A 20748-nucleotide genomic window follows, 5' to 3' on the forward strand; every position below is an offset into this window, starting at 1 on the left:
ATTTATTCATGCTCTAGAGCCAGACTTCTTGGCTTCAGTTTCAAATCTGCTGTGTGTCAGCTGTGTGTTTTTCCATAAGTTACGTACCTCTCTGTGCTTCAGTTTCTTCGTGTGTGAAAGGGGATAGTTACAGCACTTAACTCAGAGGGCCACTGTGAGGATTAAATGCATTAATACCTATGAAAGGCCGAGAACATTACTGGTTCATAGTAAGTGCTATCTACTATTATTACTATTACCATTTTATTATTATTGAAATATTTCAATACCTCCATTTTATATCCGAAACAAGTGCAGGTCTCTTGTTCTTTGCCTGGATACCCCTATCCCTGTCTTTGCCTGGCTAATTTCAGTTTAACCTATAATAGAGAAAAGTTAGAGCAATGTAAATGGACTGATGTGAATGATTAAATACAACTTTTGGTATATCTATGCAATAAAATATCATGTGTATATTCATGCCATTTTTGAGTAATATTTAAGTTTGTAATGGCACAGAAGAAGACTAAGTAGCAATAATAAGATATACTAGGTCATGAAAGAATATTAAGTACCAATAGTAAAATATAAAGCTAGGTACAGAATGATAGGGCAATTTTAATTTTCTTATATATGCTTCCCTATATTTTTTCAGTTTTGCAAACGACCACGTATACTTTCTATAAAAGAAAAACAAACTGATATATATGTTAGTTATAAATATATAGATATAATACATATATTAGTTATATATATATATATTATTTATTTATTTATTTATTTATTTATTTATTTATTTATTTTGAGACAGAGTCTCGCTCTGTCACCCAGGCTGGAGTGCAGTGGAGCTATCTCGGCTCACTGCCATCTCCACCTTCCAGTTTCGAGAGATTCTCATGCCTCAGCCTCCCGAGTAGCTGGGACTGTAGGCATGTGCCACCACACCAAACTAAGTTTTTGTATTTTTAATAGACGTGGGGTTTCACTATGTTGGCCAGGCTATTCTCAAACTCCTGACTCAGATGATCCACCCATCTCAGCCTCCGAAAGTGCTGGGATTATAGGCATGAGCCAGCACCCCTGGCCATAAATTTTTTTTCAAAAAAAAAACAAAAACAGATCTCAAATTTTTTGGAAGCCCTCCATAACACTTCACTACCACCATCTAAAGTGCTTACCCTCGCCCTCGGACACAATGCCTGTCACACAGTAGGTACTCAATACAGCTTTACTGAATTATGTTCATCTCTTGCTGGAGTATTCCCTATCGCCTGCATGGAAAAAGGCCAGAAACAATTTGAAGGAAGATGCTTCACAAGGAATACTGAAAGTTTTCTTGACCTCATGAATGCTGGTGAGGCTTTACCCCTCTCTCAGGAATTTAACATCTCCTGAAGTTCCTGACCTCTGCCTTTCACAACTAAGAGCAGGCTGTGGCGGTGACCAAGGTCCATTTCCATGGTAAGAAGAGTGGGGCTGGCCAGCTCTGTAGTCAGAGTGTGGCAGTCACCGATGAGCTGCTCCAACCGCTCACTGTCCTATGGAGGCAGAAATTTAAAAAATAAATATGCACTCATTCATTCCAAGAAAATAACAGGCAATAAAGGAGAAGTTTTCCTCTGCCTAGCAAGCTCGCTTCAAGGACAGTTATAAGATAACGTTGTTTGAGAAGTCGAAGCCAAAGGAATGGGCTCCAGACACCCCACCTCCATAACAAGTCTGAAGAAAAAAAAAAGGGACAAATGTCTGTATTTAGCCAGTTCTGTTTTTCTTTCAGTGCAGCTGTAAGGCCACCAGCTAAGCAAGGCCACAAGTTATGCTATGCTATAGACTATGGGACCTATCATTATATGATTAACTGCTTTAGTTTTGCTTCTGCAAGCCTGCTTGTAAAACCCCACTCTGTCTTTGTTGAAATGCTCCAAATGCTCAGCTTTTTGGATATGAATTCACTGAGCCAGTGCACACCTTAAAATAAATATCCTCCTGTTCTCCCATATTGGTCTCTTCATTCCTCAGTTTACTACAGCATTACAGATTTCATCCTGAAGAATGCTGCACTCTGGATAATTGTGTACTTGTTTCTTCAATCCACAATTCAGCTTCTGCTCCCATTTCCCCCAAAGTGACTTGGATACCATACTGGCAAAACCACAGGATTTGCCTCGTCTTGGTTTCTTATCTTGGCAAAATGACCCTATGTTCCAGCTCCCCTTGGGTTTCCAGTCTCCACATTTGCCCTCCAGGAGTTCTCTAGTTCTAGGCATCCACCTCCTGGAGGCCACCTCTTGGCCCCAACACTCAGAGGTCTCCCCAACACTCTAGGAGAGGCCAGGATGTCCAGATTGACTGCCTCTCTACCCTGCTCCTCAGCACTTTGGTAATCTCTTCTGAGAGTCTGTTATTAACAGAGATTGCCTATATGTGTAATCTCAGAAGGTCATACCTGTAGAGGGACTCTGGTCATCTCTGAACTGGGAATTGTAGGCCTTGGGTCTTGACATGCATCCTGTGTGACCTTGATCAGGTCTTTTCACTTCTCTAGGTTTTGCTTTCCTAATCTGTACCGTGGCAAAACAGATCAGGGTCAGGTAAAACCACAGGCCACGGATATGCTGAGGAAAATGAAAAATACCAGGGCATTTTCAAGGTCATGTTACTGCTGTGGCTGCTGGGCCTGTCTGCAGCCTGGGAGGTTGAGGACAACATGACAAGACAAATGTAAAAATGCCCAGAATGGAGTTATGAATATAGTGGTGGTCAAGGATGTGGGGGGGGGAACCTCTAAATGACCACAAGTGAGGGGGAAAGAAGGGCTTCCCTGCTCAGGGGTGAGAGGGTGGCCCTCTGAATGGAGCTCCCTGGAACCATGGATGACCCTTGCTGTCACTTCTTGCAACCCTGAGCTACAAAGAGTTGAGTCCAAGAATAGTATCCATTATGATAAAACTACTGGATGCGTGGGTTGAGGGTGGGGGAGAAGGGGAAGTACCACACTATCAGGGCTGAGGAATCACCTTTTGGGTGGAATGTCAGAACACCCAGTTCATTCATACTTGGTTTACTCATTTGGCTATATAGGGGTCCACATCTTGAGTCCATATTACTCATCACATCCCCTCCATGGAGATAAGCATAACATAGTTTCTGCATCAAGGAGCTCACTTTCTAGTCGGGGAGGAAACCACATGAATAGATAAATATGTGATAGGTGGTAAGAAGGAAGTAGTTCAGGAGACTGTAGGAGCACAGTGAAGGATACAGAGTTTACTTGGGAAAGAGATCAGGGAAGTTTCTCTAGAGAAGATGAACATCTTTTTTGTCATGTATTTGAGAATCATTTGTTTATTGGCTCTTCTTGGCTTTCCGGTCTCCACGTTTGCCCTCCAGGAGTTCTAAATGGCACCAGTGTCTAAATCTTGTTGGGGGTGGGGGGTAAGTTAATATTGCTGAACAAAATGATACAAGTCCTTTTTACTCTCAGTGTGGACTTCCACTGGTGCAGACATAGTATTGTTGTTAGGATCTTCATGAAGATCCATCAAAACGTTTTACCCCCATGAGCCAAAGATCAGATCAAGGCGAGGAAACAAAAGTCAACAGACAAACTCATTGTATGGCTCAGTGATGGCTAATCACCCATTTTATCAATCATTATTCTCCTGAAGCCCCAGAACAGGCTTCCTCCTAACCCCTCCACCCTGCTCATTCAGACAGCTGCTCTAGTGGGAATTGAGACTTAACTTGAAACTACTCATCTACAGCTAATAGACAGCCTTCTCCATCCTTCAGGCTTCCTGACACTTTGTTTCTTCCTCTGACATGACACTTAGCTTATTCCACCTCTTGGGATAGTTATTTCTGTCACTGTCAATGCCATCACTAGACATGGAACTCTTCGAGGGCAGGGATGGGGCTTCGTTCAGCTCTGTCTGCCCTGGCAAAGAGCAGATGGTTAGTACATTGGGCTGAACAAAAATGTCATAAATAACGAAGTCTGCGTGAATCCAGAGAACATGAAACACATACTGCTTCCCTTAAAGTGAGGTCCTTGATGCATGAAGATGAAACTGCACCAACTAGGAAAGGCCAGGAGAGGTACTAACACATCTGCTATCAGGCAACACGGAACATTACAGCTGGGGGCGAGGGTCTTGGAGAAGATCAGAACATTTGAAGCAAGAGCTGTACAAAGAAAAGGGGGAGAGAACAGATGAGAGAAGTGCAGCTTGTGTGTGCGGGTGGGGAGGGAGGGAGAGTGCTGAGGCAGGATGACCTTGTACTTTATTTAATGACCCTGAAGTACCCCAGGATGCTGCTCCAACCTCTCCTGTGGCTCCCAGATGCTGTGGGTCCCTTTTTTTCTTAACTTGTATTTTAGGTTCAGGGGTACGTGTGCAGGTTTGTTATATAGGTAAGTTGTGTGTTGCGGGGGGTTTGGTGTACAGATTATTTCATCACCCAGGTAATAAGCATAGTACCCAATAGGTAGTTTTTTTTATCCTCACCCTCCTCCCACCCTTCACCCTTAAGTAGGCCCTGGTGCCTGCTGTTCCCTTCTTTGTGTCCATGTGTACTCAATGTTTAGCTTCCACTTATAAGTGAGAACATGCAGTATTTGGTTTTCTGTTCCTGTGTTAGTTCGCTTAAGATAATGGCCTCCAGCTCCATCCATGTTGCTGCAAAGGGCATGATCTTGTTCTTTTTTTTATGACTGAGAAGTATTCCATTATATATATATATATATATATACCAAATTTTTTTTATCCAGTTTACCATCAGTGGGCATTTAGGTTGATTCCATGTCTTTGCTATTGTGAATACTGTTGCGATGAACATACATGTGCACATGTCTTTATGGTAGAATGATTTATATTCCTTTGGGTATATACCCAATAATGGGATTGCTGGGTTGAATGGTAATTCTGTTTTAAGTTCTTTGAGAAATCGCCAAACTGCTTCCCACAATGGCTGAACTAATTTACATTCCCACCAGCAGTGTATAAGTGTTCCTTTTCTCCACAGCCTCACCAACATCTGTTATTTTTTGACTTTTTAAAAATAGCCATCCTGACTGGTTTGAGATGGTATCTCATTGTGGTTTTAATTTGCATTTCTCTAATGATTAGTGGTGCTGAGCATTTTTTGTATGTTTCTTGGCCGCGTGTACGTCTTCTTTTGAAATGTGTCTGTTTATGTTCAATGCCCACGTTTTAACGGAGTTGTTTGTTTTTTGCTTGTACATGTGTTTAAATTCCCTATAGATTCTGGATATTAGACCTTTGTGAGATACATAGTTTGTAAATATTTTCTCCCATTCTGTAGGTTATCTCTTTACTCTGCTGATAATTTCTTTTGCTGTGCAGAAGCTCTTTAGTTTAATTAGATCCCATTTGTCAGTTTTTGGTTTTGTTGTGATTTGTTTTTGGCATCTTCATCATGAAATATCTGCCAGATCCTATGCCCAGAATCATATTGTCTAGGTTATCTTACAGGTATCATATTTTTATAGTTTTATATTTTAGGTTTTACATTTAAGTCTTCAACCCATTGTGAGTTGATTTTTACAGATGGTGTAAGGAAGGGGTCCAGTTTCAATCTTTTGCATACAGCTAGCCAGTTATCCCAGTACCATTTATTGACTGGGAAGTCCTTTCCCTGTTGCTTGTTTTTGTTAACTTTGTCAAAGTTCGGATGGCTGCAGGTATGCAGCATTATTTCTGAGCTCTCTATTTTGTTCTATTGGTCTATGAGTCTGTTTTTGTACCAAAGCCATGCTGTTTTGGTTACTGCAGCCCTGTGGTATAGTTTGAAGTCATGGCTCCCTTTTTTTACTCTTCTTTTTTCTTTCTCAGAGAAGAGCAGGTAACAATGTGGGGTTAAAGGTGAGCAGGTGGGTTAGAGTAGTGGAGCTAAAGGCAGATAGAGGTCTTGATCCAATTATCCTCATTCCCTTCATTTGTCCAACCTTGCACACTCCTGTATGCAGGGCCTTTGTAAGCTTCACCTTCTGTACAGGTGCCCAGCAACTGTCAAACCAGCCAGGGCTTAACATGAGCATGGGCATTCCCTATGGACTGGCTGGGACACACCCACATCCTTAGATTACACATTTTGCCTGTAACATAGATAAACTCATTACTAGGTATATAATTCTGTTTTGTTTTGTTTTGGTTTGTTTTGCTTTGTTTTGTTTTGCTTTGCTTTGTTTTTGGGACAGGGTCTCATTCTGTCAAACAAGCTGGAGTGCAGTGGCACAATCACCACTCACTGCAGCCTGGACTTTCCTGGGCTCAGGTGATCTTCCCACCTGAGCCTACTGAGCAGCTGGGACTACAGGTGTGTATCACCACTCCCAGTCAAGTTTTTTTTTTGTATGTGTGTTTTTTATAGAGACAGTGTTTCACCATGTTCCCCAGGCTGGTCTCAAACTTCTGGGCTCAAGCAATCTGCCTGCCTTGACCTCCCAAAGTGCTGGGATTTCAGGTGTGAGGCCCTGTACCCAGCTCAATTCTGTTTTTATACTAGAAGAACATTCTCTATCTGGGTCTTCCAGACTTGATTCTTACTGGTTAATTTGTCCTGGTCTTTTGCTGGTCCAAGAAAATATCTTGAAATCTTTATTTCTTCTCCGTTCCCTCCTTGTCCTAGGACAGACTAGCCCTATCCCTTCCCTGAATTAAGTCTGAGTATAATCGGTCTTTGAGTGTGGAATAGCTCCTAGCAGTCTATCAGTCAATGGTTTCTCTTTGTGGTCACACTCTATGTTTATTCTGGAGACTACAGCATGGAAAGAAAATGGACTTTGGAGTCAGATGAATCTTGATTCGAATCTTGATTCAAATCTTGGCAGTGCCATTCATCAGCTCTGTGGCATTGAGCGCCATCAGTGGACCACTCTCTGATCCCCAATTGCCTTATCTGTAAAATGAGATTAGACACCCCTGCTCAAGATTATGGTAGGATTATATATAATATGTGTAACACAGCTTTCCCAGTGCCTGGTACAAGGTAAGTGTCCAATAAGAACTTACAAATGTTCCTGAGCCACCCTACTGGGTCCCTCCGCACATCCAATGCTGGACTCTTCATGCCCAAGGAAACATATAGGGCACAAAAGTCAGTGGCACTGAGCTCAGCAGAAGAAGGCACAGGAAGGGGATGGGGGAGTCCTGGTTCCCGCTTTGTTCTTGGGGCCAGGACTGTGGCCAGCCTGGAAAGACTGGCATGAACCCTCCAGCATCTGGGGGTGCCAACCACCAAGAGCAGCACAGTTCTTGTCTACAAGCCACTTGTAGCAGGTGTGAACATTTCATCTTTTCCTCTGGGGTTTGCAACTCTCTCCCCAGTCTCGGTCACTGCTTTTGGCTGTACCACTTCCCTTTTCTTCTCGCCTGCACCTCCCTCATCTTTCCTCTATGATGACATCGCCCTGGGGAAGAGAAGCTGAGAGGAACTCCTCACTCAGCTAGCTTCAGGAGCCATGACATCATCTCTACCATGGAAATTCCACTCACTCTCCTGTGCCCCCACATTTGTCCTAGGCCTCAGAGTCCCTATAAAGAGAGATTCCCAACTCAGTATCAGCACAGGACACAGCTAGGTTCTGAAGCTTCTGAGTTCTGCAGCCTCACCTCTGAGAAAACCTCTTTGCCACCAATACCATGAAGCTCTGCGTGACTGTCCTGTCTCTCCTCGTGCTAGTAGCTGCCTTCTGCTCTCTAGCACTCTCAGCACCAAGTAAGTCTACTTTTGCAGCTGCTATTTCGAGTCAAGGTGTAGGCAGAGTCCTTTTTTCTAGTCATGGCTGGCAAACAGTGGGATCTGGGGATGGGACAAAAGGCAGCTAGGAAGATTGCCATGTAGTCTGCTGCTAAATGTAGAGTCTAGTAGATATTCAGTAACATTCAAGTTCCTATTTTCTTAAGAATTAGCAACCAGCAGAGGAAAACGATGGGCTGGAAGTCAGACTGTTGAATTGGCTCTGCCTTTAATTATTTGTTCAAGCAAGCCCCTGTCCCTCTCTGTGCCTTGGTTTCCCCATCTGTCATATGAAGGGAGTGCGATGTGTTCTGAGACTGAATCCAGTTCCAATCTTCTAGATTTCTTTCTCGTTCTTCTCTGAAGATCCACTATTCAGAATAAGACTCCTGCTCATGTTAGGTGGGAATGGATACAAGGGACCATATTTGGGGTTCTGGTAGCTCCACAGGGATGCTCAATGAAGATGCAAAATTAGAAGTCAAAATAAACAGCTCCCATGGGCAGTGTTGATCTCACCCTGGCCTTTCCTTTCAGTGGGCTCAGACCCTCCCACCGCCTGCTGCTTTTCTTACACCGCGAGGAAGCTTCCTCGCAACTTTGTGGTAGATTACTATGAGACCAGCAGCCTCTGCTCCCAGCCAGCTGTGGTGTGAGTATCAACCCCTGGCTGCCCTGGGAGGCAAGGGTGAGGGCTGGATTTTTAAAGGGGGCCTGTTTTGGGGAGGGGGTGATGAGCGTTGGGGAGGCAGCTCTCAGGGCTGAAGCCTTCCCTGACAGCAGTGAGGTCACAGGTCATGAACTCACTTTTCAAGTGCTGAAGGCGGCTGAGTGGCAGCCGAGACAGAAGGGGGTTCCTGGGGAGGAAGTTATTCAGAGGACAGGGAAGCAGGGGAAGGCAGACAGGTCCCGTGAGATATGGACCAATTCCTTAAACCATGCTAGAAAAACATGTGGAAAAGTCACTACCAGGCTGGCAGGGAATGGGGCAATCTATTCATACTGATTGCAATGCCCACTGGTTCCTAATCTGGGCAACCCCTGGGGCCCACAGCTAAATCCAGTGAGTGGAAGTTACAGGGAGTCTGCTTCCAGTGCTGCTCCGGGAAGGATCCCATCCACCAGAGCTGCCCCACATGGACCATGGTCAGGCAGAGGAAGATGCCTACCACAGGCAAGGGATAAAGCCAGATGACCTCAAAGGTCCCATGGGATTCTAATCTGTCTGCTCCTTGTTCTACGGATTCCAAACCAAAAGAGGCAAGCAAGTCTGCGCTGACCCCAGTGAGTCCTGGGTCCAGGAGTACGTGTATGACCTGGAACTGAACTGAGCTGCTCAGAGACAGGAAGTCTTCAGGGAAGGTCACCTGAGCCTGGATGCTTCTCCATGAGCCGCATCTCCTCCATACTCAGGACTCCTCTCCGCAGTTCCTGTCTCTTCTCTTAATGTAATCTCTTTTATGTGCTGTATTATTGTATTAGGTGTTATTTCCATTATTTATATTAGTTTAGCCAAAGGATAAGTGTCCCCTATGGGGATGGTCCACTCTCACTCTTTCTCTGCTGTTGCAAATACATGGATAACACCGTTAATTCCATGTGTTTTCATAATAAAACTTTAAAATAAAATGCAAACAGTTTCTTTGTGATTTTAATTTGATTTGGGGGTAAAAGGAATTGCCTGGTACCATTGGGCGGTGGGGCAAGCTACAGTTTCCAAAAGCAGTAAGAATGCGCAATTGCTGAGTCCTTAATATGAGCTCTGGGCTGAACACTCTTAATACATGATCTCACTGCGTACTTTCAACAAGGGTTTTAACACCCTTATGAAGTAGGGACTGTTGCCCCCAGTTTCACAGTTAAGGAAAGAGAGGCACAGAGAGGTGAAGTGACTTGCTGAGGCTAGTAGGTCTGCTTGGGGAGTGTCATGAAAAAATGCCTTTAAAAAGGAGGTTATCATTTCAACATCTTGTGGGGGGAGTTGTAAAGAGGGGAAGCAGCACAGCAAAGGCGGAAGAAGAGTGAGAAAAGTGACTTCATCATATTATTATCAGCATAACATTGGGAAAGTCATCTTGCTTTATTAGACCTCAGTGTTCACAAGTGTGAAATGTAGATAATATTAACCCCTTCGAAGGGCTGTTACGAGGTGATGTGTAAAGCACCCATCATGGGACTGGGCACCTGGAAGATTCTCTCCTTCCCCCTCTGAGCCTCAGCCTTTTCACTTAAAATGGACCTAACAATTGTCAGGATCATCATGAGGATTAGATTAGTTAGTTGACAGATCAGCACTCTAAAGCCCAAGTTACTGTGAAGTGTTGTCATGATGACAGAAGGATGGAGGTCTGGTTTTGTTTGGAAGTGTTGCAGGAGTAACCTAAAGCCACTTCTACTTAATTATCCTTCAATCAGTACTCCCATTCCATGGGTCAGAGACTACATGGCTCTGAAATTGAATTACATGCACAATAAAGCCTGATCCACAGGACATAGACTCATGGTCTACTAAAGCTAAAAGGAAACTTTAGACCATCTGGTCCAACCCTCTCATTTTATGGAAACTGAGGGAGAAGGCCTGGGAAGTAACTTGCCACGTGCCACTCAACGAGTACATAGCAGAGCAGGAGCCTGGCCAGTGCCAGCTCCCAAGCTCAGGCCCTTTCCTGCACACATTCCCTAGTGACACACCTCTGTGGTCCTCAAAAGGGAGACCGGTTGAGTAAGGACAAGGCAGAGACTACCTTGAAAATCATTTGAGTGTTGTTAGTCCTGTGCAAAAGCAGAACTGGGGCCCTGTACTTCTCTGGGGTCAACAGACACAATTCCTTTCTTTGTCCTGCCCTTAGTCACCTCTGTCATTCCAGAGCCCCAGTGGAAACTTACTTCAGATTCTGCGGGCACTGAGAGAAGGAGGTTAGGGGGCAGAGCTGATCCAAAACAGGTGTGGGAAGAGGCTAGCAGCAAAGAATGTGCCTGGCCATAGTTTCTGCTTTCATTTGCCTAGATCCGAGCTATCTAATATGTTAGCCACTGGCCAAAGCGGCTATTTACATTTTCATTACATTTAATTAAAATGAAATAAAATTTAAAATTTAGTTCCTGAGTCACACTAGTCACATTTCAAGTGCTCAGTAGACCTTGGTAACATGGCTAGTTACCAGGTTAGACAGCATGCATTATGGACTTTCTGTCCATCATTGCAGAAAGTTCTGTTGGAGAGCAGTCTCCTAGAATGTTCTCAGAGCCTAAAGAGAGTGAAGGGAGGAGCAGTTGGGATGGTCTGTAAGATTAGGGTGCAGATTTGGAGAAAGATACACAATTCTATTCTGAGGGGACGGGATGGGAGAGAGAATGGATGACCCCAAGCCAGAGACAAGGTATAGATCACTATGGTAGCTGAATAATGGCCCCCAAGACATCCACATCCTATTCCCCAGAACCTGTGAATGTCAATTTGTATGGCAAAAGGGACTTTGGAGATATGATCAAGTTATGGATCTTGAGATGGAGTGATTACCTTGAATTATCTGGTCAGGCCCTAAATGTAGTTGTGAGTGTCCTTACCAGAGGAAGGAAGAGAAAAATTTGGTAATAGAGGAGAAGGTAGCAATGTGACAGCAGAAGCAAGATGCTATGCTACCAGCTTGGAAGATGGAAGAAGAGGCCAGGAGTGAAGAGGTTTTAGGATGCAGCTCTAGAAGCTGCAAATGGCAAGGAAATTGTTCCTCCCCTAGAGCCTCCAAAGGGAGTGTCCCAGTGAATCTAATTTCAGACTTCTCACCTCCAGAACTTTTAGAGAATAAATATGTGGTCATAAGACACTAAGTGTGTGGTAATTTTTTGCAGCAGCAATAGGAAACAAATACAACCACCAACTGATGTGTCACTGATAGTGACCCCCAATAGCTCAGTGTGGCAGGAAAGGGAGCATTCTAGAGGGTGAGCCAAATCTCCCTGCAGGAGGAACCCAGGGTGAGAGGGACACACCTCAAGGAGATGAACTATAATGAGGAGAGGCATTCCAAGAGGAGATCTGCTTCAGCAACTGAGTTCTGGGGCTGAGGCTTGATCCAGGGTCCAAGACCCTTAGGAAGCATGCCTCTTCTTGAGACATCTAGGGTGCTCTGAGGGGTCCTGGATTCCTATCTGGGAAAGAGTCCATCCTCTCATCTGTCAGATGCAGCCCAGAGCAGAACCATGACCTGTCTCTGGTTCATTGTTAGTGAGCAGGCAGGGTTAGGGCCAGAGTCCCGGTATCCTCCCTCATGATGGAGTCCCTTTCCCAATCCTCCCTGCCCCTCAGCTAATGGAAAGGGAGGAGCTCAGCTCCACAGAGGCAAGGCCACCAGGGAAGGCTGCAGGAGGCCAGGGCAGCCTCATGAAGAAATGCTTACCAGGAATTACAAACAGCAGAATGGAATCCTCGAAGGGGCAATGTGGGACTTCACCTGTTGCACAATATGAGACTGTTTTTTTCCTTTCTCCTCTTTTCATACAACTTCCTTTTCTCACCCTGGGCCCAGAGAGCTGGAATCTGCTTACTTGACGTTCCAGTTGAGGTTTCTCCAGGTTTCCGGGTGGGGGCAAAAGCCAGAACAGACAAAGCAGGACACTCGAAAGGAACTATGGATTATGGAGCAACTTCTAGGCATCCGGCCTATTTTCCTACTCCTTGCAGTGCCCACCTCCCCCAGCTCACTCTCCAGATGGGAGTCCATTTCCTTATGTACATGTTCCTTTAGGACATGTTCATGCAAACATGTCTTTATCCCCCATCCCACCTCAACCTGGAACCCTCCATCATGCTCCCATTGATACAGGCATTTTCCTCCAAGGAGGCCAGGAGCCGAGCAAGCAGAGGCAGGGATCAAAGGAGCAAGATGAGCTGAGGATGGTGACATAGCCACAGTTCTTCCTGGAGGCTGAGACCAGAGACCAGCTGGCAGTCCTGTACTGCAGTCTGCATTCACCCTTTACAGATTTGAGGGCCTTAAAACCCTCTCTTTCCCACTTATCTCTACCTGTTCTCCCTTCTAAACTCCTTCTGTCTTGGGTTCCCAACTGAGTCTAGCATACAGGAAAATAGAAGAAAAGAATTGAGAGACAAAATTGTGGCTGCATTTTTCTACCTTTTAAATAGTTTCATTTTTAGATACAGTCGACATTTTGAATATGTGGGATCCAAATCTGTGGATTCAACCGATGATGGATGGAAAATATTTGGGGAAGAAAAAAACACAATAGGCCAGGTTTAGTGGCTCACACCTGTAATCCCAGCACTTTGGGAGGCTAAGGTGGGAGGAATATTTGAGCTTAGGCATTCTAGACCAGCTTGGGCAACATAACAAGACCCCTTCTCTACAAAAGTACCAAAATTAGCTGGGTGAGGTGGCACATGCTTGTAGTCCCAGCTACTTGGGAGGCTGAGGCAAGAGGATCGCTTGAGCCCAGGAGGCGGAAGTTACAAACAGCTGAGATGACATGACTGCACTCCAGCCTGGGCGCTAGAGCAATATGCTGTCTCAAAAACTAAAAAAGAAAAAAGAAAAACAAATAAAAAACAATGCAGTATAACAATGATCTACATTTACATTTATGAATAGCATTTACATTGTTTAGGTATTCTAAGTAATCTAGAGATTAAAGTATATGGGAGGATGTTCATAGGTTATGGGCAAATACTATGCTACATCAGAGACTAGAGCATGTGTAGATTTTGGAAGCCATGAGAATTCCTAGAACCAATCCCCTGTGGATACCAAGGGATGGCTCTACATGATAAGTGTGTAAAATATATATATTCAGAAGGAATGAGAAAATCAAAATTAATTTTTTTCAGGGAAGATGGGCTTGATGGGACTTGATGGAGGATGGTCTGGGAGACTCTCCCCTTCTATGGAAACATTCCCAACTGGGAGACCAGCACAGCTGCAGGGAAATAATTTCTTCAGGCAGTGTTAGCTGCTTCTAAATCTCAGGACCCTATGTCCCTGGGCTCCTCAAGGAGACATTTGTTATTTACAGTGACTCCTGATTCATTTGCTTAGGGGGTCCTCTTGTCTTTCTGCTAGGGACTTGGAAAAGGAGAGAGGGCCTAGCCTCCCAGCCTACATCTTTCTCCTCTGCTGGTTGTTTCCTTGTGATCTTGTAAGTTAACACTTAATAAATCCCATATATATATGGGATTTATTAAGTGTTAACTTACACTTATATATATGTATATATATGTGTTATATATATAATATGTGTTATATAATATATACATATTAAATGTTAACTTACACATATATGATTTATTTGTATATATTATATATTTATATATATCCTAATATGTGTGTATATATATATCTATATCTATCTATCTATCTATCTATCTATCTATCTATCTATCTATCTATATATATCCTATTAGTTCTGTCCCTCTAAGAGGACCCTGACTAATCCAGATTTTGGTACCAGGAGTGGTTCTAGAGAAATGGAATATTAAGAGTGGAGTTCTTTCATTGGTTTTGGGTTTTCTAGAGTTGGCTGCTTAATATGGTTAGACCCCAAAATGCTAAGGACTCTACGTCTAATAGTATGGAGAACACTGATAGTCCTTGGTGTGAACTGTTTAGAGAGTTAAGCAAAGTAAATGCATTTGGCACTCCTGATTCACTGCTCATGAGAGGCAAGGAGTTTAGTGACTCTATACATAATACCTTTGACCATATGTGGAGAACCAAGGAACATAATGAAGCTGGTTGGTTGCTCCTGAGTTCAATAGACAAAGTGATGAAAGAAAACGATGAGCTCAGGGATTATGTCTCCTGGCTTCAGAAGCAGATACTGAGCCTCAAATCTGCTAAGATTGCCCTGAGTGAGACCCTTATCTTCTGTAGAGAAAGAGCTGAAATTGTGAAAAAACAAACACAAATTCTTATCATGCAAGTGGCTGACCTGCAACAAAAGGTGCATGTACAGACTCACTAGGTGTCTACTGTTAAAGTGAGGGCATTGATTGGAAAAGAATAGGACCCTGCAACTTGGAATGGGGAAATGTGGGAGCACTCAGATGAAGCTGGGGACACTGAGTTTGTAAACTCTGATGAACCTTTTTTGCCAGAAGGAACAGCTTCCCCATCCCCAGTAGTAGCAACATCCACTCCCGACCCGTGGTGCCATCAGCCTTTCCACCTTTGTCTGAGGAGATAAACCCTGTGCTGCCTGAGGCAACAGTGATGGCCTCCTCTGAGGCAGTTGCCAGGCAAAATAATGTTGATTCTCCTCAGGAGCCACCCCAACACCCCTGTTTCGTGGTCCACTACATTGATGACAGTCTAGACCTGTAACTAGACTAAAGTCTGGTCCATTACATTGATGACAGTCTAGACCTGTAAATAGACTAAAGTCCCAGTGGGCCCCTGGAGGTGAGGTTGAGAGTGTGATCCATGAGGAGGTGCACGGCACTTCAAAAGAACTGTTTGAGTTCTCTAATTTATAAAAACAGCAATCTGGAGAACATGCATGGGAATTGATATTAAGGGTATGGAATAATGGTGGAAGGAACATAGAGTTGGATCAGGCTGAATTTATTGATTTGAGCCCCTAAGTAGGGATTCTGCATTTAATGTTGCAGCTTGGGGAGTTACAAAAGATTCTAATAGTTTATTTGCTTGGATAGCTGAAATATGGATTAAAAGATGGCCCACTGTGAGCAAGCTGGAAATGCCTGATCTCTCTTGGTTTAATGTAGAGGAAGGGATCCGAAGGCTTAGGGAGATTGGGATGGTGGAGTGGATTAGTCATTTTAGACCTACTTATCCCAGTGGGGAGGGTCCCGAAGATATACCCTTGAACAATAGCTTGCGAAACAGATTTGCAAGCATGGCACCAGCATCTTTGAAGAGCCCTGTGATTGCTCTTCTCTGTATGTCAGATCTAACGGTGGGAACTGCAGTCACTCAACTACAAAATTTAAATACAATGGGAATAATTGGATCCCAAGGTAGCAGGGGCTAAGTGGCAGCACTCAACCATGAAAGGCAAGGTGGGCATAACTACTGTAATGGACAGCAGAGGCAAAGTGGCAATCAGAATAGTCTGACTCGTGTAGAGCTCTGGCATTGGCTAATTAATCATGGTGTTCCTAGAAGTGAAATTGATAGGAAGCCTACTGCATTCCTACTTAAATTATACAAACAAAGAACTTCCAGGTCAAATGGACAAACGACTAATTTGAATCATAAAAACAGAGAATCACGGCCCCTCAATCAATTTCCAGGATTGAGCCAGTTTAGAGACCCAAAAACCCTTGAATGAAGCGGAGGCCGGGTCCCCTTGAGGAAGGACCCCACTACATTACTGACAATTTATGCAGTGAATCTTTCTCCCACCCTTCCCCAAGGAGACCTCCAGCCTTTTACCAGGGTAACTGTGCACTGGGGAAGGAGAAATGATCATATATTTTGGGGACTTCTGGACACTGGCTCTGATTTGGCGTTGATTCCAGGGGACACAAAATGTCACTGTGTTCCTCCAGTTAAATTAGGGGCTTATGGAGGTCAGGTAATTAATGGAGTTTTAGCTCAGGTCCAACTTACAGTGGGCCCAGTGGGTCCCTGGATTCATCCTGTGGTCATTTCCCCAATGACAGAATGTGTAATTGGCATAGATATATTCAACAGCTGGCAGAACCCCTACATTGGCTCCCTGACTGGTAGGGTGAGAGCTATTATGGTGGGAAAGGCCAAATGGAAGCCATTAGAGCTGCCTCTACCTAGAAAAATAGTAAATCAAAAACAATATCACATCCCTGGAGGGACTGCAATTAGTGTCACCATCAAGACTTGAAGGATGCAGGGATGGTGATTGCCAACACCTCTCCATTCAAGCCTCCCATTTGGCCTGTGTGGATGACAGATGGACCTTGGAGAATGACAGTGGATTATCATAAGCTTAACCAAGTTGTGACTCCAATTGCAGCTGGTTTCCAATGAAACCAGATGTGATTTCATTGCTTGAGCAAATTAACATGTCTCCTGGTACCTGGTATGCAGGTATTGACTTAGCAAATGCCTTTTTCTCCATTCCTGTCCATAAGGCCCACCAGAAGCAATTTGCCTTCAGCTGGCAAGGTCAGCAATATACCTTTACTGTCCTACCTCACGGGTATATCAACTCTCCAGCTTTGCGTCATAATCTTATTCAGAGAGACCTTGATCACTTTTTGCTTCTGAAAGATATCACACTGGTCCATTACAATGACATTATGATGATTGGATCCAGTGAGCAAAAAGTAGCAAACACACTGGACTTATTGGTGAGACATTTGCATGCCAGAGGATGGGAAATAAATCTGACTAAAATTCAGGGAACTTCTACCTCAGTAAAATTTCTAGGGATTCAGTGGTATGGGCCCTGCCGAGATATTCTTTCTAAAGCAAAGGATAACTTGCTGCATTTGGCCCCTCCTACAACCAAGAAAGAGGTACAATGCCTAGTGCGCCTATTTGGATTTTGGAGACAACACATTCCTCATTTGGGTGTGTTACTCTGGCCCATTTATCTAGTGACCTGAAAGGCTGCCAGTTCTGAGTGGGGTCCAGAACAGGGGAAGGCTCTGCAATAGGTCCAGGCTGCTGTGCAAGCTGCTCTGCCACTTGGACCATAAGACACAGCAGGTCCAGTGGTGCCTGAAGTGTCAGTGGCAAATAGGGATGCTGTTTGGAGCCTTTGGCAGGCTCCCATAGGTGAATCACAGCAGAGGCATCTAGGATTTTGGAGCAAGGCCCTGCCATCTAGTTCAGATAACTACTCTCCTTTTGAGAGACAGCTCTTAGCCTGTTACTGGGCTTTGGTGGAAACTGAACGTTTGACTATGGGTCATCAAGTCACCATGTGACCTGAACTGCCTGTCATGAACTGGGTGTTTTCTGACTTATCTAGCCATAAAGTGGGTCATGCACAGCAGCATTCCATCATCAAGTGGAAGTGGTATATATGTGATCAGGCTCAAGCAGGTCCTGAAGGCCAAGTAAGTTACATGAGGACATGGCTCAAATGCCCAGGGTCTTCACTCCTGCCACCTGCCTTCTCTCCCCCAGCCTGCACTGATGGCCTCATGGGGAGTTCCCTATGATCAGTTGACAGAGTAACAGAAGACTAGGGCCAGGTTCACAGACGGTTCTGCATAATACACAGGCACCACCCAAAAGTGGACAGCTGCAGCACTACACCCTCTTTCTAGGACATCCCTGAAGTATAGCGGTGAAGGGAAATGTTCCCAGTGGGCAGAATTTTGAAAAGTGCACCTGGTTGTGCACTTTGCATGAAAGGAGAAATGGACAAATGTGCAATTATACACTGATTCCTGGGCTGTAGCCAATGGCTTGGCTGGATGGTCAGGGACTTGGAAGAAGCATGATTGGAAAATTGGTGACAAAGAAATTTGGGGAAGAAGTATGTACATGGACCTCTCTGAATGGTCAAAAACTGTGAAGATATTTGTATCTCATGTGAGTGCTCGAGTGACCTCAGTGGAGGGGGAGTTTAACAATCAAGTGGAGAGGATGAGCCGTAATGTGGACATTACTCAGCCTCTTTCCCCAGCCACCCCTGTCACCGCCCAATGGGCCCATGAACAAAGTGGCCATGGTGGCAGGGATGGAGGCTACACATGGGTTCAGCAAGATAGACTTCCACTCACCAAGACTGACCTGGCTATGGCCACTGCTGAGTGTCCAATTTGCCAACAGAAGAGACCAATATTGAGCCCTCAATATGACACTATTCCTCGGGGTGATCAGCCAGCCACCTGGTGGCAGGTTGATTATATTGGACCTCTTCCATCATGGAAAGGGCAGAGGTTTGTCCTCACTGGAATAGACACTTACTCCTGATATGGGTTTACCTATCCTGTATGCAATGCTTCTGTCAAGACTACCATTTGTGGACTCATGAAATTGCCTTATCCACCAGCATGGAATTCCACACAGCATTGCCTCTGACCAAGGCACTCACTTTACAGCTAAAGAAGTGTGGCAGTGGGCTCATACTCATGGAATTCACTGGTCTTACCATGTTCTCCATCATCCTGAAGCAGCTGGATTGATAGAATGGTGGAATGGCCTTTTGGAGTCACTATGACAATACTTTGCAGGGCTGGGGCAAAGTTCTCCAGAAGGCCATGTATGCTCTGAATCAGCATCCAATATATGGTACTGTTTCTCCTATAGCCAGGATTCACAGGTCCAAGAATCAAGAGTCCAAGAATCAATTTGATTACTTTAATGTAAATGAGATTATACCATACTCTCTTCTCTGTCACTTCCTATTTTCATGTAATTTATGTTAGACATCTGTCGATGTCAGTATAAATAGATCTAGATCATTTTTTATAGTTGTATAGCTTTCATTACATGGATGTTTCACAATTTACTTAGCTAACTACCTATTGTTGGACATTTGGTTATTTCCAAATTTTTGCTATTTCATATAATGCTGCGCTTATATAAAATATAGTTCTATATAATTATGTTTAATTATGTACTACCGCTGTATCTGACAACTGACTTGTATCAAGAACATACAAAGAACTGTTACAAGTTGCCAGGCAGAGTGGCTCATGTCTGCAATCCCAGGGCTTTGGGAGGCCAAGGTGGGCGGATCTCTTGAGCCCAGGAGTTGGAGACCAGCCTGGGCAACATGGGGAGACCCCGTCTCGACAAAAATACAAAAATTAGCCAGGCATAGGGGCACACATCTGTAGTTCCAGCTACTTAGAGGCTGAGGTGGGAAGACTGCTTGAGCCCAGGAAGTTGAGGCTGCAGTGAGCCAAGATCACACCACGGCACTCCAGCCAGCGCGTCAAAGGCCCTGTCTGAAAAAAAAGGAAGAAGCGGGGGCGGCAAATAAGTAGAGTATACGCCACCTCATCCAACCTTACTGGAACCAGTAGTTGACTGGTTAATCAGTCCAACCAAGGAAGCATTAAAAACTGATGCATGTGCCGGGCATGGTGGCTCACGCCCGCAATCCCCGCACTTTGTGAGACCGAGGCGGGCTGATCACCTGAGGTTAGGAGTTTGAGACCAGCCTGGCCAACATGGTGAAACCCTGTCTCTACTAAAAATACAAAAGTTAGCCATGCATGGTAGTACACGTCTGTAATCCCAGCTACTCAGGAGGCTGAGGCAAAAAAAGGAGAAGAAATGCTATGTGAAGCCTTTTTATAAGCACATTAATTTCATTCACGAGGGCAGAGCACTCATGACCTAATCACCACCTTGAAAGCCTCACTTCTTAACATCATCACATTAGGTCTTAGGTTATAACATGAATTTTGGAGGACTCCAGAAAAAAAAAGTGAAAGACAACCCACAGAATGGGAGAAAATACTTGCAAATTATATACAAAGTAGGCTCACTTTATTTGTGGAAAATATGTAGCCAGACGCAGTGGCTCATGCCTGTAATCCCAGAACTTTGGAAAGCTGAGGTGGGAGGATCACTTGAGCCCAGGAGCTCAAGACTAACCGGGGCAACATAGGGATACCCTATCTCTACAATAAATAAATAAAATTACCCAGATGTGGTGACATGTGCCTGTGGTCCCAGCTACTTGGGAGGTTGAGGTGGGAGAATCACGTGAGCCCAGGAGGTTGAGGCTGCAGTGAGCCAAGATAACATTAATGTATCCCAGCCTGGGCGATAGACCGAGACCTTATCTCAAAAAAAAAATATATATATATGTATATATTTATTTATCTACCTATATATTCATATATAGATATAGATTAATATAGATATATAAACATATATTTATAGATATATAGATACATAAATATATAGCTATATATAAATATATATTTATAAATATATAGATATATATGTAACAAAATATGTTCCAAGACCTCCAGTGTATACCTGAAACTGCAGATAGTACCAAACTCTATATGTACTATGTTTTTTTCCTATACATACATACATACCTATGATGAAGTTTAATTTATAAATTAGGCACTGT

At 44.1% G+C, this 20748-nt stretch overlaps 1 protein-coding gene across 11 annotated transcripts; it reads left to right on the forward strand.

Annotated features, from left to right (window-relative positions):
* Window positions 1-7564: 7564 nt before the first annotated feature.
* On the forward strand, window positions 7565-9375 carry CCL4L2 (C-C motif chemokine ligand 4 like 2). Of its 11 annotated transcripts, none has more exons than NM_001291469.2 (3): window positions 7565-7719; window positions 8278-8392; window positions 8795-9375. In NM_001291469.2, the coding sequence occupies exons 1-3, from the start codon at window positions 7644-7646 to the stop codon at window positions 8796-8798; spliced, it is 195 nt and encodes a 64-aa protein (NP_001278398.1). In that variant the 5' UTR covers window positions 7565-7643; the 3' UTR covers window positions 8799-9375. The 11 variants fall into 11 exon arrangements, 10 of the variants coding, with proteins under 10 accessions (NP_001278398.1, NP_001278404.1, NP_001278400.1 ...); NM_001291475.2 differs by having other exon boundaries at window positions 8805-9375; NM_001291471.2 differs by having other exon boundaries at window positions 8815-9375.
* Window positions 9376-20748: the final 11373 nt, after the last annotated feature.

The sequence above is a fragment of the Homo sapiens genome, chromosome 17, assembly GCF_000001405.40.
Source record: "Homo sapiens chromosome 17, GRCh38.p14 Primary Assembly".
NCBI lineage: Eukaryota > Metazoa > Chordata > Mammalia > Primates > Hominidae > Homo > Homo sapiens.

Bases quoted from the DNA above. Each gene is read 5' to 3' on its own strand.
- CCL4L2 (NM_001291475.2), top strand. From the start codon at position 7,644: ATGAAGCTCTGCGTGACTGTCCTGTCTCTCCTCGTGCTAGTAGCTGCC. The intron at 7,720-8,277 runs GTAAGTCTACTT...CTTTCCTTTCAG, and splicing joins TCTAGCACTCTCAGCACCAA to TGGGCTCAGACCCTCCCACC. The intron at 8,393-8,804 runs GTGAGTATCAAC...AGCTAAATCCAG, and splicing joins TGCTCCCAGCCAGCTGTGGT to TGAGTGGAAGTTACAGGGAG.